Source organism: Homo sapiens, chromosome 14 (assembly GCF_000001405.40).
Source record: "Homo sapiens chromosome 14, GRCh38.p14 Primary Assembly".
NCBI classification, from domain to species: Eukaryota; Metazoa; Chordata; class Mammalia; order Primates; family Hominidae; genus Homo; species Homo sapiens.
Genome location: NC_000014.9, coordinates 70,914,085 through 70,931,410, shown reverse-complemented (window position 1 = coordinate 70,931,410; position 17,326 = coordinate 70,914,085). Strand labels below are relative to the sequence as shown.

Below are 17,326 nucleotides of genomic sequence, written 5' to 3'. Positions count from 1 at the left end.
ACTGTCTGCCTAAAAATCAGTCCATCCTATGGCTGTTTACATTGTGGGCAAATTACTAATGGGAAAAAGAATTAACCATTTTTTTGTAAAGCTCTTAAGATGGCCAATTGGCCTCAAGTTTTAGCTTTTTTACTGGTATGCCTGAAGGGGTGGGGAGTTGGGAACACCTCTACTTACTCACAATGATAGAAAAACCCCCTTTGGCTTTTTCCCAAAGAAAATGGGCAAGTTAATTCCTGCAGTGTTTGCAATTCAGTTCCATAGCTCTCCCACCTTTCATTCTTGGTGGATGGAGAGAATGCTGGTGAGAAGGGAGAAAGAAGGGTTTAGTACTCAAATATTACCTATAAATTTAGAAAATGTTAATTAAGAGGGATCAGAAAGAATATGAATGTTTTTAATAAGGCTTACAGTTTTCCATATATAAGCTGCCCCCCAAAGGACTCAGAAAAGGCCCTGATATCAATGGCCATGGCTCCAGGGATTTAGCCCTCTTGCCACAGTCTCCTTTGGGGATTGAGGTAAAGCATTCCAGTTAGAAGTCTCCTTTCAGAGGATGGAGCTGCAGAGGAAAAGGAGAAAAGTACTCTCAATGTTGAGATTCAGGCATACTTTCCCAAAGGAAAAAAAAAAACATAATATTCTACTGAGCTAACTACACAGGGCCAAACTAATTTCAGAGGGCCAGCTGGGAACCTGTGTACAAACTCACAGTGCATTTTCCCCAAAGGCAACTGGTTTACAAGTGAGCTATTGGAACTTGAGCCTACCTGTATTTCTGCAAATGTCTGCTACATAAATATTTTAATATAAATAGAATTAAAAATAATAGATATTATCTTTTTTAAAAATCTGTATCTATCTTTTAAAAATCTGTTTGTCACTCCATAACCTACATTTGAATTAATATTTATATTTTTAGCTACAATAGAATGCTGTTCTTAGGGAGGTAACAGTCAAAATTTATGCCACATCACCTAGCTGAAAAGAGACTAAAATAACATAGCACATGCAACTCATCGGCAACAGAGATTGAGTCTATTACTCAGGGCAGAAGTCACTAAGCCAGGAGTTAGAGATGAGCAGCTTGATCCATATGAAGCCAGGTACAGTGACATTCGCCTGTAGCCCCAGCTCTTTGGAAGGCTGAGGTGGTAGGACTGCTTGAGCCCAAAAGTTCAAGGCTGCAGTGTCCTATGACTGTACCTGTGAGCAGCCACTGCACTCCAGCCTAGGCAACATAGGGAGACCCTGTCCCTTAAAAACACACAAACACATACACACATACACACACACAACATATGCACAGGCACACACACATGCATGAGAAGAAAGGGCACAGACATGAAAAATAAGGGATGAAGAAAAAAACCCAACAAATAAATGTGAGGATGTATACTGATGGACTAAAATAATCTTATGTACATTATAGAATTTTTCCTATACTTTTATTTAAAGAAAGAAAATCATTTATACAATTTGAATCTATAAATTCTGGTGAAAGTCAATGTCCTCATAATTAAAATGTTACGTATATCCTTTCTACTCTATTTCATGAAATGATTTTGTCCAATTTATTCACATATTTTTAGCAACAGAAGTTTCTTCATCACAGAAGTCATTATGAGTTACCTAACACAGGTTTACATAGCACATCTACATCATCATTTCAGTATAAGTTTGAGTTCTAACACTTTCTGTATGATGCTGTTCCTAGGAATTCTGTGTAACCAAATGTCCATTTGTACTTAATTAGGACAACTTTTCTTTTTTTCACTCATCACATAAGTACATATTCTTATCTCCATAAGCTACTTTTTAACTTAATCCAACAAGTGTTAATGACATCCAACACTTGCAAATTATTAAGTTATAACCCTAGTAACAGTTATGATTAGCTATGCTAAATTTTAAAAAACTGTTTAAAAATCAAGTCATGTTGCTACAAACACACACAAGAAAAACAACTGGATGAAAAACAGTAACTGGGCAAGTGGAAAGTAATACAAAAGACTTTGTAATAAGTCAGATAATATAATTCCTTCTTGGCTGAGGGATACTTTTGGGTCAGGGGGCACCTAGCCTAATAATCAAATATATATAGTCATATGGTAGACTAGAGATAGAATGCTTCAAAACAAGAGCAAGACGGTAAGAGGGGAAAAAAAAAAACACTGAATGTACAGCAGAGCTTTCCCCGAGTTTCCAAAAGCATCTTTAGATCACTGTAGAGAACAAAAGAAATAATAATTTTCATGTAATCCCAAAAGGGTATCCAAACAATTCCTATCTAGAAGCATTTGTTAAAGATAGCACACTTTGAAATTTTTCAAAAATGAAGGTAACAAAGAGGCCCCGGAATAGAACATACCCAACAATCTAAACTTTATAGATAGAAATGGTGATTCACAAAAACCTTTTACAAAACTAACTCATCCTATCCTATGTGTTGAAATGGTTTTCTGATGAGATTAAGGTACCTATTCCCAAACCATCAAGTAGCAGCAAGCCAAAAGTGTAACGGTTTTAAAAACTGCTATGTCTGAGAATTATAACTGGTTATTAAAATAAAGCAGAAAGGTAGAGGTATGTATGCATATTAAAGAAATAGTCTGGTACAGATTTGTCTCCCAGTATTATCCGGATGGTATCATCTGGAGACTGCATGCCATTCTTTACCCCAAAATTCCCAAAGTAAAAACTGAAAGAATGGCTATATAGGAATATAACTTGAGAGGCACTAACAATGTTTTGATTTATATGTGATTTTCTTAGTAAACCTAACCATTCTGGAAAAAGGAAAAGGTGCCCTACACTAAGAACTATCTTCATTAATATTTCCTTTTGTAAATTAGTAACAATATTTTACTGTATAAATCACTCTTTTATTTATCAGTCTAAGTAAATCCCACAGTAAATTGATAAACACTGAATTTCTAAATGGTAAATATGAGGACCAAAGCTGTCTCATGGCAAGTCCAACTTAAATAGCTTTACCTATCCTGTTTCTCCCATTTGTTCCTGATATATTCTATTGCAACATTTTTTCAGGATTCACAATTAAGTAAAAGTAAGCATTCATTAACAAATTCTGTCAACATGACACTGCAATTCTGAAGAATAGCAGCTAGGTTATTGTTTTAACATACCTCACAAAATGCCAGTTCAGGATACATTTAATGGGATTACCTTATGAGCAAATACATTAAAAACAATGAGATTCTCCTTGCTCCTATATAAAAGTATAACTATATTCTTATAGACGTAGTATAATAAGCAAGCACAAAATAATAACAGTAACTCAAATTTAAAGCTTTTAAGAATCAAAATAATTCAATAATGAAAGTATTAGGTCAAAGGAAGAGTCAAACTATGAGAATTAAGTAAAAATAAATATTTTAAAATGAAATATTAATATATACAAAAATTAGATCAAAAATTATTTTGCTTATATTCTTTTCTGTTTCACTAACATTTAGTAGAAGAAACCGCAAGCTGAATTCTAACACAAGAATGAAAATCAGGCCTGGCGCAGTGGCTCACACCTGTAATGCCAGCACTTTGGGAGGCCAAGGTGGGAGGATCACTTGAGGTCATGAGTTTGAGACCAGTCTGGCCAACATGGTGAAACTGTCTCTACTAAAAATATAAAAATTAGCGAGACTTGGTGGTGCACGCCTGTAATCTCAATTACTAGGGAGCCTGAGGCAGGAGAATCGCTTGAACCTGGGAGGCAGAGGTTGCAGTGAGCCAAGATCGCACCACTGCACTCCAGCCTGGGCAAGAGAGTGAGACACTGCCTCCCAGAAAAAAATAAATAAATAAATAAATAAATAAAAGAGAGAGAATGAAAATCAATAAGATATATAAACTGTAAAAAGTATATTAGCTCTCATAAGAGCATTACCAGAACCCAAATATCATTTCCATCACACTTGCCCTGAGCTCAATTTGCTTGAAACAGAATGATACTATTGCATGCTGTATAATCCATTTCTACCTTTAAACAGAAGTACTACAATTACGCACATTTAACATACTATATTTAAGGTGAAGTAAATGTGAAAGATGCCTAACAGAAAAAAATTTAAAAACGTAGAAGAGCATATCCTACTACCACCATAAAGGCAACTAAGACACACTTACAGAACAGGAGCTTGATCCATTCATGCAACAATTTACTGAACACCTATTAAGTCTCAGATATTCTACTAAGGAATGTTAATACGGAAATAAACATGATCCTTTCTCTCTTTGAGCTTCTTAGGAGAATGACAAATTTAGTGTTTTACCAAGCACTACATACACTGGATTATATTGCCACAATCCTTTGAAGAAAGTACTGTTATTATCTTAATTTTAAAGGAGAAAACTGAGGCCATGAAGTCATATGCCCACAGCTGGTAAGCGGCAGAAAGTGAAGCGATACCCAGTCTGACTCCACAGCCTGCATTTTTAAGCACTAAACTATACTGTCTCCCTCCAATGCAGTGTTTCTCACCCATTTTCTTCATTATTGTCCTCCTAAGTAGCCTTTTCAGACATTCTTTTCCTCATCACGCTCCCTGTGAAATTTTAATACCAGATACACTGCACACTTGTTTGTGCTGCATGTACATCTGTACTTTATATGTAAAAAGAATAAGATTTTTTTTTCACACATGCATCCCTCAAGAGTTAATTTCTGCCCCCTTGAGGGTAACACCACACCCACTGAGAACATAAACTCTGGGGCAATGTTCCTCGCTGTGGGCACCGTTGACACTTAAAGCCAGACAATCCTTTGGTGTGGGGCGCTGTCATGTGCATTATAGGAGGTTTAAAATCCCCTTGGTTTCTACCCACTAGAGGCCTACAGCACTGCTGTTTCAAGTTAGGTTAAAATCTCCCAAAAGAGGTTTACATTCCTTGAAACATGCAGCCAATTGGCAGCAAGTGCTTCTCTTGCTGCTATTTACATATTCATAAGGGCTACAGTACAAATTTTGTTCATATTGAACTGGAATGGGCAGGATATACACAGACTGTAAATGCTGCATCTCTGTAGCGAGAGTGAAGGAGCAGGTGAGACGGCAGGGGCAATGGCAAGAGAGTATCTGATATAAGCACAGCAAGGAAAGAACCCCACATTAGACCAGTAAGTGAAAGCACATAAAAGTTTAATGAAATCCATTTATAATGTGTGCCACAGAACAAGGCTAACCCTGGCCCCAAATGACCAGTGACACAAATTATCTCACTTTAAGTATATGCAAGAACCATAACTAAATCCCTGGGAAAACACTGTACTAAATGGGCTTCCACTGTATTCACATAATATGTTGGTCAAGAAGGAGAGCCAAGATTAAGGATATAACTAGATGGAGATGGGAAGGACAGCTCTGAGTTTTGGATCCCGGAATACACTGAAAAAGATCAGGAGATGCTCAGTTCATGTCAAATCAATCACAGGTAGGCTTTCAAACGCAGACTAATCAGAAAGAAGCATCTTGTATGATGGTGGAGGGTGATGGAAGGTGGCTATGGCGGTCAAAAGGAAAAAACGGCAGGGGCAATCTATGTAAACATGAGCCAGTGATTTAACCCCTAGGAGCCTCTGTTTCCTCCTCTGCAAAAGGGGATTTACAGTATCTTCATCTCACAAAGCTATGATGAGGATTAAATGAGAACATTTGAAAGCATATGGTGCATGGGTATATAACAGCACAATAAATATTTGATATTTTTAATAATGTTTAAGCAGTACAGTGACAAAATTAAGACAAGCAAATAAAAAGACCTGAGTAGATACAGTTCAGGGCAACCAAAGATGAGCTACATGAAAAAAAAAAAAAAAAAAAAAGATGAGGTAAGTGAGATTTGTGAGCCCTCAGAATACAGAGGTAAATATTAGTCTGATAGTGAATGACCGGAAGTCACTGGAAAATGAATACAGAAATATTTCTGTAAAATGGGGGGAAAAATCTATTTTTCAAACAAAAACAGTATGCTTGACAGTAAAACACTAGAATTCCCATTAAAGTAAGGAACTAGACAAGGCTGTCTTCATTTTCAACATTATTTAACACAGACATAAAGATGTAAAGGTACCATGCAAAACAATTACATAAGGTAAAAACGCAAGCCGGGCTTCGTGGCTCATGCTTGTAATCCCAGCACTTTGGGAGGCTGAAGCAGGCAGATCACTTGAGGTCCGGAGTCCAAGACCAGCCTGGCCAACATGGCAAAACCTCATCTCTACTAAAAATACAAAAATTAGCCGGACGTTGTGGCGCACGCCTGTAATCCCAGCTACTCGGGAGTCTGAGGCAGGAGAATCACTTGAAGCCAGGAGGTGGAGGTTGCAGTGAGCTGAGATCGCACCACTGCACTCCTGTCTGGGCAACAGAGTGAGATTCTGTCTCAATAAAAAATTAAAAAAAAAAAAACCAGATGTGAAAACTGTTATTTACAAATATAATTGCATATCTGAAAATGTCTTTAAAATCAACAGAACAATGTAAGAATAAACTAGTTCAGGCCAGGTGCAGTGGCTCATGCCTGTAATCCCAACAAGCAGTTTGGGAGGCTGATGTGGGTGGATTGCTTGAGCCCAGGAGCTCAAGACCAGCCTGGGCAACATAGCAAAACCCTGTCTTTACAAAAAATACAAAAATTACCCAGGCGTGGTGGGGTGTGTGCTTACAGCCCAGCTACTCAGGATGCTGAGGTGGGAGGGTCACCTGAGCCCAGAGAAGTGGAGGGTGTGGTGAACCATGATCACGCCATGCACTCCAGCCTGGGTGAGAGAATTAGACCCAGTGTCAAAAATAAAATAAAATAAAGGAATAAACTAGTTATATAAGGTGACTAGTTCAAAATTAATAAACTAAAATCAAAAGTTTTGGATGGAACCTAACAGAAAAAGGACATTAAGTGAAAACTAAAGAAATCTGAATAAAGTATGAACTTTAAGTTAATAATGATGTATCAGTATTGGCTCACTGGTTGTGACAAATGCACCACAGTAATCTAAGATGTTAACAAGAGGAGAAACCGGATGCAGTGTATACGGGATCTCTCTGCACTATCTTTGAGACTTTTCTATGCATTCTAAAACCAGATTTCTTTTAAAATATCTTGAGGGCAATTTGGTAGGTTTTTTTCTGTTTTTTCTTTTTCTTTTTTTTTTTTTTTTTTGAGACAGTCTCACTCTGTGTCACCCAGGCTGGAGTGCAGTGGCACAATCTCGGCTCACTATAGTCTTGACCTCCCAGGCTCAGTCAATCCTCCCACCTCAGCCTCCCAAGTAGCTGGGACTACAGGCACATACTAACATGCCCAGGTAATTTTTTGTACTTTTTGTAGAGACAGGGTTTCCCCATAGAGCCCAGGCTAGTCTCGAACTCCTGGACTCAAGCAATCTGCCTGCCTCGGCCTCCCAAAGTGCTGGGATTACAGGTGTGAGCCACAGTGCCCAGCCTAGGCAGTATCTTTCAAAACTGCAGAAGTATTAGCCCTTTGACAAAGCAATCCTATTTATAGGAATTTATCTTAATAATGTACCTGGACACATGTGAAATGACTGTGCAAATTATTTACTGCAGCATGTTTTGTGTTAGCAAAGGCTGTTAAAAAAAAAATCTGTCAGCTGGCAACAGGTTAAATAATACATCCAGGCAATGGAATACTATTCACTATTAAAACAACTCAAGAAGCCCTTAGCTACCGATGGACAGATGTTTAAGATATATTAAGTGGGGGGTGGGGAAGCCAGTATATACACTAGTATGGTAGGGGAGAGGCAGACATATATTTGAATTTTCATCTTTATGCTACAGTGGGATGCACAAGAAACTGTTCATAGTGGTTTCTTGTGGGAGGTGGTACACGAGTGGACAACAGGAGGATCATGTGCAGGTAGAAAACGGCAACCTTTCATCATCTTTTGGAGTTTTGTTGGTTTTTAATCATGCAAATTTATTGCCATATTTTAAAAGTATTGGAAGAAAACATGAATTTTAAAAAAATCTTTAATAGATATTAGACAAAAACATGAATTTTTTTCTTACAAGCCCTTAATAGGTATTAGATGAAAACATGAATTTTTTTACAAACCTTTGATAGAGCAGAATTTTATAGCATGGAGAAAACTGGTAAATGTGAATACTATATATTTTAAGGTTATATAATAAAAATAGGGGAAATCTTTAATAAACCACAATAACTAATTTTTACATATATATAGAACTCTCACAAATCACAGAAAAACAACGTTTCAGAAAAGGACAAAATATACAAAAGGCAGTTAAAAGAAAAAAGACGTGTGTGTGTCTACTAGGCATATGAAAAGATACTCAAAGAATTCATGATTAAGGAAACATAGATTAAAACAAGATGCCATTTTACACTATCACATTGAGAAAGATTCATAATAACCAATGTTGGTACAAACAAAAGGAAACAGATACTTTCACATCCTGGAGAGAATATAAATTGGTAGATTTGTTTGAGGTATTATTTGGCAACATCTAGTTTGATTTTAAATGTGCATACCGTTTGACCCAGTAATTTTTATAAACTAATGCTACAAATCCCACAAGTCTTATATACGTAAGTGTTCACTAATATATTGCCCAGCATTGTTTGCACTAGCAAAAAAAAAAAAAAAAAGGTAATGACCTAAATGTCCCCCACTAGGGAACCAATAATTTATACAATGGATTACTCTAAAATGGTTCAAAAAATGAAGAAGAGTTACATGCACTTCAGTGGATCCTGCAACACAAATATAATCCCATTGGCTATTTCAAGTACATACATATATGAATATATGTTTGTATATATACACTACCAAGAGGAAACAACCATTATCTCTGAGGCATGTGAACTGGTAGCGTGGATGATAGAGAACAGAAGACTTTTTATTTTATTTATAACATTTCCCCTATTTTTATTATATAACCTTAAAATATATAGTATTCACATTTACCGGTTTTCTCCATGCTATAAAATTCTCCCCTATTAAAGGTTTGTAAAAAAATTCATGTTTTCATCTAATACCTATTAAAGGTTTGCAAGAAAAAAATTCATGTTTTTGTCTAATACCTATTAAAGATTTTTTAAAAATTCATGTTTTCTATATATACTTAACTACTGTCTGGAATAATTTCTACAACTAGTATTATTTTCATGACAAAAACTTAACAAAGGATTTTTAACTTAAGGGTGAAATGCTCCATAAATACACCATACTGGGTAAAAAGCACTATATAAGTTGTACTATTATCCATACCATAAAAGTGTACATTATTGCCAGAATCAGTTACTCAGCAATTTCTTCAGTGCTGAAAAAGGGAGATGAGTTAAACTAAAACCTAAGTAGGAAATAATAAGATGTTTTCAGGCATTCACAAATAACAGACCTCCCAGCACAGTGACTGTTAACTTGGAATGGCCATCAGAATCACCTATCCCGACATATATTTTGAAAAACAACTCCCCCTCCAAATGTACCAATAGACAAATTAAAAATATTGCCTGAAGCATTTAGGGGGTGATGTGTCATAATGTTTGCAACATACTGTCAATTGAGTCAGATATGTGTGTAAGAGAGACAGAGTATGTACAGATAAATACCATGCATCTTTATATAGTTGAAACAAATGTGATTTTTCAAAAAGGTTCATAATAGTGGAATCTAGATGAAGCATTCTTTCAATTTTCTTATACATTTGAAAATCTTCATATACAGAAATTGAAAAAAGATCACTTCAAGTATATTTAAAGTATTTTAAGTATATTTTTCAATAACACATCCTGGTATTCTTCAATATTCAATACTGTGACATTAAGGGAGTAAAGTAAGATTTTTGGTAACAAAGCATATTTTTGTTAAGATTAGCTATCTTTATTCTCACTTTGAAAATATCTTTACCAGCCTGGGCAACATAGGCAGATCTTATCTCTACAAAAATTCAAAAATTAGCCTGGCATGTTGGTTCACACCTGTAGTCCTAGCTACTCAGGAGACTCAGATGGGAGGACTGCTTGATATATAAATCAAATACATATGAAATTGAGGATTTCATTAGTAAAATGCCAAAAACAACCCAAAATTCCTCTTTATTCCCCATCCAAGTTCATTTCAGTTTTGTCATGAGGGTCATGAGGGTCTGTGAGGCTTGTGGAAATTACGTGTAATGTATATTTGTGGCATAAATACTGCTGAGTGAAAATGAAATTGGTTTATTTAGGTTTTCTGAATTGTTTGTTTTTATATCATTTCTTTTAACCATTCCAGATACATACCAAGAATGTTATAAATAATATTCTCAGAAGCTAAAAAATAACTCACTGAGAAACCCTTAATGTGTTAGATAAATTAGAATACTTAAGCAGAGCAAAACACTACATCCAAGAACATACATTCTTTTAAGGAACAATCTTTTCCCCAGAACAAAGATTAATTTGCCCAGTGGGAAGATTATGGAAACACTATTCCAGCACAAATAACCTCATAAAGGTCCCACCATAAGGCCTACCACAGCACCCAGCACACAGTGAAGGTTCTGAATGTATGAATATCCTCTGCATAAAGCATTCTAGGAAATAATTACATCCTCCTTCCAATTCCTGAGCACTTTATGACACACAAGGCATTAGTCATATTCTACCTTATAATATGGCTGTGTACTTGTCTCATAGCCTCAATTTATAAATTAGTAAAAACAGCATTATACAGAGAGCCAAGAGACAGGTGTCCATACTGTCATAAATGAGCTCTAGTCTTTTTCATCTTGGAATTATTTCATTTTACGAAATTTGTCATATGTAAAATACCTCAGTTTTAAAATAGCCTAATATAGGTTAATGGTTAGCCTGTATTAGGTTATTCAAAAATATTCAGAATACTCTCCCTCTCTTTTGTCCATCTGAAATGTATCTATCATAGATGTAAAACCTTTTGCAAATTTTTCTCATAAGATACATTTGACAAATTGTATACATCCTCAAAGAACAGAATTCTAGCCTGTGAGGGGAAAAGAAGAAAGCCATAGTAAAGATGATACTAAATGCAACACAGTGGCCTGGACTGAAGGATCTTGAAACAGAAAAAGTACAACTGATGAAATCCAAATAAAGTGTATAGTCCATTAATAGCATTGCACTAATGTTAATTTCTAATTTTTTGAAACCATGGTTATGTAACATTTTAGTATTAGAGGACACTGGGTGAAGGGTATACAGGAACTCCATCTTTGCAACTTGTCTGTAAATCTAAAATTATAACAAAATGTAAAGTTTTAAAGATGACAACTGCAATAATTAGATCTGTTGAGTATATGTCTAGACAACACTCAAACAAGGAGTGAGGAGGGGTAGGAAAAGGAAAACAGCCAGACACGTGATTCAAGCTTCTCAAAGTTGTGATTAATCTTCCTGCCTGTTCTCAGGGCAGTTGGCGCTCAGGGTTCTATTTGGCTCGTTCAAAGCTCTACAGAATGCAACTTTTTTTTCCCCCTTAAAACCTCAAAGGAAATGACTTCCTTTTCCCTAAGTTTTCTTTTCTTTCTTGTAACACAAAGCAACTAGCACTGACAGTGCAAGTTATAAAAGATGCAACTGCTCAGGTTCCAGGGATAAAAGAAGAACTCTGAACTGTTTTACAATTCTACCAAATAAAGCATCTCCTATTTGGTGGGGGGGGGGGGGGGGGGGGAGCAGAGAAACCAGAGGAACCAGAATCAGTAGCTACTTATTTCATCTATAGTATTTAGTAAAGTTCATCTATATGGATTTAGTAAAGTTCATCTATATGCTAAAGAAGTCAACAGCAATCAACTCTATAGAACGTTTGTTGTAATCTTCTCTTCTCCATATTATTAGTCTGTGCTATTCTAGTGTTATTACTCTCAGGTGTCTCAACTCACCTGCCAAAAAATTCTTAGCCCCTCCAGCTTTCCTAAGAGACACAGGAAAATCATTTAACTCAGATAACAGAAGGAGGCACTCAGTCTCTCTCAAAGAAACATTTCTGCTTGTCAGTTGCTTGCTGTGAAAATTAATTACAAAGAATAGGAAAAATCAGATCAAATTTCTTATGCAATATGTTAGTGCAGTATGCATCCTTAATTTGGACTAAAAAAGTTGAAATTTAAAAAATACTTCAAGAAAAATTCTGTCTACTGTCAAGGACAAAATATTACTGATACTTATTACTGGATGTTTCATTAAATAGTCCATTGAGTCGGGTGCAGTGGCTCATGCCCGTAATCCCAGTGACTCTGGAGGCTGAGGCAGAATGATCATTTGAGGCCAGGAGTTTGAGACCAGCCTGGGCAACATACCAAGACCCCCGCCTCAACAAAAAAATTTTAAAAAGTAGCTAGTTGTGGTGGCACAGGCCTGCAGTCCCAGCTACTCAGAAAGCTGAGACAGGAGGATCCACTGAGCCTATGAGTTTGAAGCTGAAGGGAGTTATTATCACACCACTGTACTCCAGCCTGGGCGATGAAAAAGACTTTGTCTAAAAAAAAAAAAAAAACCAAAAAACCACCAACAAACGAACACTCCATTGAATAAGAAATTGATAACAGTAACACCCTGTTTTGGAAAAGTGTTATGTGAGAGTGGGAAAACAAGTACTCTCAATACTGTTGACAGAGATTTAAATTAGCACTACCTAGTCCTAGAAGAAAATTTGGCATTTTTAACCATTCTCCTCTGCAAAATGCAGGCAGATCTTATGTTGTGCTTAGCTTTATGGTGCTTCACAGATACTGCATTTTGTACAAACTGAAAAGCTGTGACACCTCTGTGGAGCATGTCTCTATCAGCACCATTTTTCCAACAGCATGTGCTCACTTTGTCTGTGTGTCACATTTTGGTAACTCTTCAATATTTCATACTTTTTCTTTACTATATCTGTTACAGTGATCTGTAATCAGTAATCTTTGATTTTACTATTTTAGAATTACAATAGTGTAAATTCTAAAATAAAATAGTAAAATCAAAGATTTGTTGATGGGAGTACCATCAACCTTGCCCACAGACGATAGTAAAGAGTGTTCAAGTGAAAGGAAGAGTCACGTTTCTCTCACTTTAAACAAAAAGCTGGAAATGATTAAATTTAGTGAGAAAGGCACATCAAAAGCCAAGACAGGTAGAAAGCTAATCCTCATGCACCAAAAGTCAAGTTCTGAATGCAAAGGAAAAGTTCTTGAAGAATATTACAAGTGCTACTCCAGTGAACACACAAATGAATAACATTGCTGATATGGAGAAAGTTTGAGTGGTCTGAATAGAAGATCAAACCAGCCACAACATTCCCTTAATTAAGCCAAAAGCCTAATCCACAGCAAGGCCCCAACTCTCTTCAATTCTATGAAGGCTAAGAGGTGAGGAAGCTGAAGAAAATTTGACTCTAGCAGAAGTTGGTTCATGAGGTTAAAGCTGTTGCCATAACATAAAAGTTTACATGAAGCAACAAGTGCCGATGTAGAAGCTGCAGCAAGTTATCCAGAAGATCTAAGATCACTGATGGTGGCTACACCAAACAACAGATTTTTGGTGTAGATAAAACAACCTTCTGGAAGAATATGCCATCTAGGCCTTTCATAGCCAGAGAAGGTTAAGTCAATATCTGGCTTTAAAGCTTCAAAAGACAGGCTGACTCTTTTGCTAGTGTCTAATGCAACTGGTGACTGTAAGTTAAAGTCAATGCTCATTGGCCATTCCAAAAATCCAAGAGCCCTTAAGAATTATTCCAAATTTATTCTGCCTGTGTTCTATAAATGGAACAATAAAGCCCAGAAGACATCACATCTGTTTACAGCATGGTTTACTAAATATTTTAACCCCATCTTTGAGACCTACTGGTCTGAAAAAAAGATTCCTTTCAAAATACTACTGCTCCTTGACATGGTACCTAGTTATCCAAGAGCTCTGATGGAGACATAGAAGAAAATTAATGTTGTTTTCATGCCTGCTAACACAACATCTATTCTCCAGCCCCATGGATCAAGGAGTAATTTTGACTATCAAGTCTTAGTATTTAAGAAATACATTTCATAAGGCTGTCAGACAGTGATTCCTCTGATGGATCTGGATGAAGTAAACTGAGAACCTTCTGGAAAGGTCTCACCATTCTAGATGCCATTAAGAACATACATGATTCATGGGAGGTAGAAATATTAACATTGACAAGGTGTTTGGAAGAAGTTTATTCCAACCCTCATGGATAACTTTGAGGGGTTTAAGACTTCAGTGGAGGAAATCCCACAGATGTGGTGAAAACAAAAAGAGAACTAGAATTGGAAGTAGAGCCTGAAGATGTGACTGGATTGCTGTAATCTCATGACACAACTTGAAAAGATGAGGAGTTGCTTCTTATGGGTGAGCAGAGAGAGTGATTTCCTGAGATCCAATTTGCTCCTGGCGAAGACGCTGTGAACACTGTTGAAATGACAACAAAAGATCTAGAATATTACATCAACTTAGCTGACAAAGCAGTAACAGGATTTGAGACAGCTGACTCTAATTTTGAAAGAAGTTTTACTGTGGGTAAAACGCTATCAAGCAGCATTACACGTACAGATAAATCTTTCATGAAAAGAAGAGTCAATTGATGCTGCAAACTTCATTGTTGTCTTATTTTAAGAAATTGCCACAGCCACCTCAACCTTCAACAGTCACCCCCTGGTCTGTCAACAACACTTAGGCAAGACCCTTCACCAGCAAAAAAATGACAACTCGCCGAAGGTTCAGATAATCCTTGGCATATTTTTAAGCAATAATGTATTTTTTAATTAAGGTATATACATTGTATTTTTAGACACAATGGTACCGCACACTTAACAGACTACAGCATAATGTAAATATAACTTTTATATGCACTGGAAAACCACAAAATTTGTGACTCATTTTATTGCAATATTCGCTTTATCGCAGTGATCTGGAACCAAACTTGCAATATCTCCAAGGTACGCCTGTACTCTCTTTCCCTGGCTCTTTTTTCGTCTTCATTTTACAACTCTGTCTTCCTTTGCTGATTTCTAAATGCTGTTTAGGCCTTGGAATTCTGTCCAAGGCCATTTTCTTTTTAATGAGATAAACTTTCTTCCCAGAAGATCTACATGCTGATAACTTGCAAGTAAATTTTACCCCAGATTTCTCTCCTGAACATTCCTCTTCGACACTCTGAATTCATGTTCTCCAATCTCAAAGATACCTTCAAAATTGTTCAACAATCCTACCATCCCTTGATAGTTCACTTTTCCACTTACCAAAAGTAAGAATAGCATGTCACATTTGGGGGATCTCCCTCAAACCTTAAATATCCTCTTCACCTCCTCTTTCACTCTCAACAGAACACACTCACTTTGTCCTCTAAGGAGATTACATAAATCATAAAAGATGAACCTCAACTTTTCCCATGAACTGTTTATCCCTTCCTCCATGATTTATCCCTTCATCCTTCATCCTTTATCCCTTCATCCTTGCCTCCTTCCTTCCTGCTCTGAGGATAATCCTTTAACACATGTGCTTTCTGGACCACAATCCTATTTTGTATTCCAGGAACCCTGCATTATCTACCCATTTCTCATTCTCATATTTATATTCTCTCTCAATATAAAGATTCACTCAGTATTTGTAAAATGAGTATTTATCAAAGAAGATAATCCAACAAGTCTATTTTTAGGAATTTATACAAAATACTAGTACAAATATTTAACTACAAGAGTATTCACCCTACTGTTTTCTAAATAGCTAAAACCTGGAAATGACTTACATAACCAGTAAGAGGTAAATGATTAAACTGTAACACATATGATCTACTGCAGAGCTATTAAAAAGCCACTTACCCCCAACCCATGGAAACACTCATAATTTAAAGTGAAAATAGGAGACTTGAAAACAGTATGAATTCTATGAGCCCATTTTTGTAATCAAAGTAGTATTTAAAACTCCAAATATATTTTGGTTACTAAAATGTTCTACAGACAGGGGTGATGGAATTACCAATGGCTGTATTTTCTTTTTACTTATCTATAATTTCTGATTTAGACAAATAAATCAGAACAGCTGAACAAAAAGATTTTTAAATTAAAACATGGTCTTATTTGGAAAGAGAAAAGGGTTTTGAGATTCCGTAAAGTTTTCCAGTGTCTTTGAGTTCTGATAAAACCTATCCTCATGTTGGCATCTTTACATATAGTAGCCAAAAACTGGGAAGAGCCTAGCTGCTCATCTACACGGGAATGGATAAAGGTGAGCAAACTGTAGCACAGTCATACAAAGGAATATTACTCAGCAATAAAAAGGAAAAAAGCTACTGATACAACACCATGGATTAATCTCAACCACGTTATGCTGAGTGAAGGTGGCTTACACAAAGCATGTGCTACATGATTCCATTTATATGAAATTCTAGAACAGGATAACCTAATTTATAATGAAAAAAAGTCAGAACAAGGATGAGAGGACTGACTCAGAAGGTCAAGCAGAAACTATCTGGAGTGACGCTGATATTCTACAACATGCCAAGTCTACACTACGCAAACGTGTGCATTTATCAAAACTCATCGAATGGTTCACTGAAGATTGTGCCTTTAGAACCTACCTGACAATGCACCTGCTGAAGAGTTTAGGGGTGATTTGTATAGAAGTGTAACTTAATTTACATGCATCTCCCTAAAAAAGGGTGGACAGATAGAGGAATAAAACAGATAGAGACACAATATTTAAAAACACAGAATCCAGGTGGTGGGTACAATTTTCTCAACTTTCCTATATGTTTGAAAATTCTTTAATAAAATGTTGAAAGATTTAACTCTCAGTAAAGTCAGCTAGAGAAAGCAAATTACCTGACTGAATCTGTGTATTCAAAGGCTAGAAAAAAAATAGAAACTTTCCTAGTTTTCCAATCACCAAATGATTTTATGATTTGGAGTAATTTTCAAGTGGGAGAAAACACTCCACCTTTACGTCACAAAAGACAGAACATTTTATAAATCAACTGCTTTTTTTGTAAATTAATACACTTTTCTACAAATTGACAAATATGGCTGCTTTCTTGGAGGTCTAATTTTCTTTTCCTTTAGATTCAGCAAGGTACATGTGCAGGTTTGTCACATAGGCATATTAAGTGATGCTGAGGTTTGGCTTCTAATGATCCTGTCACCCAAGTAGTGAACACAGTAGCCAATGTATAGCTTTTCAACCCTCGCCCCCTACCCGCTTTTGGAATCCCCAGTATTTATTGTTCCCTTCTTTGTATCTGTGGGTATCCAAATGTTTAACTCCCACTTATAAGTGAGAACATGTGGTAGATGGTTTTCTGTGT

The 17,326-nt window shown here is 36.3% G+C and overlaps 1 protein-coding gene across 15 annotated transcripts in view; it reads right to left on the bottom strand.

Moving 5' to 3' along the window:
• Positions 1–17,326, bottom strand: part of PCNX1 (pecanex 1) — a 207,924-nt gene that overhangs the window by 183,972 nt on the left and 6,626 nt on the right. The window lies entirely within an intron of this gene.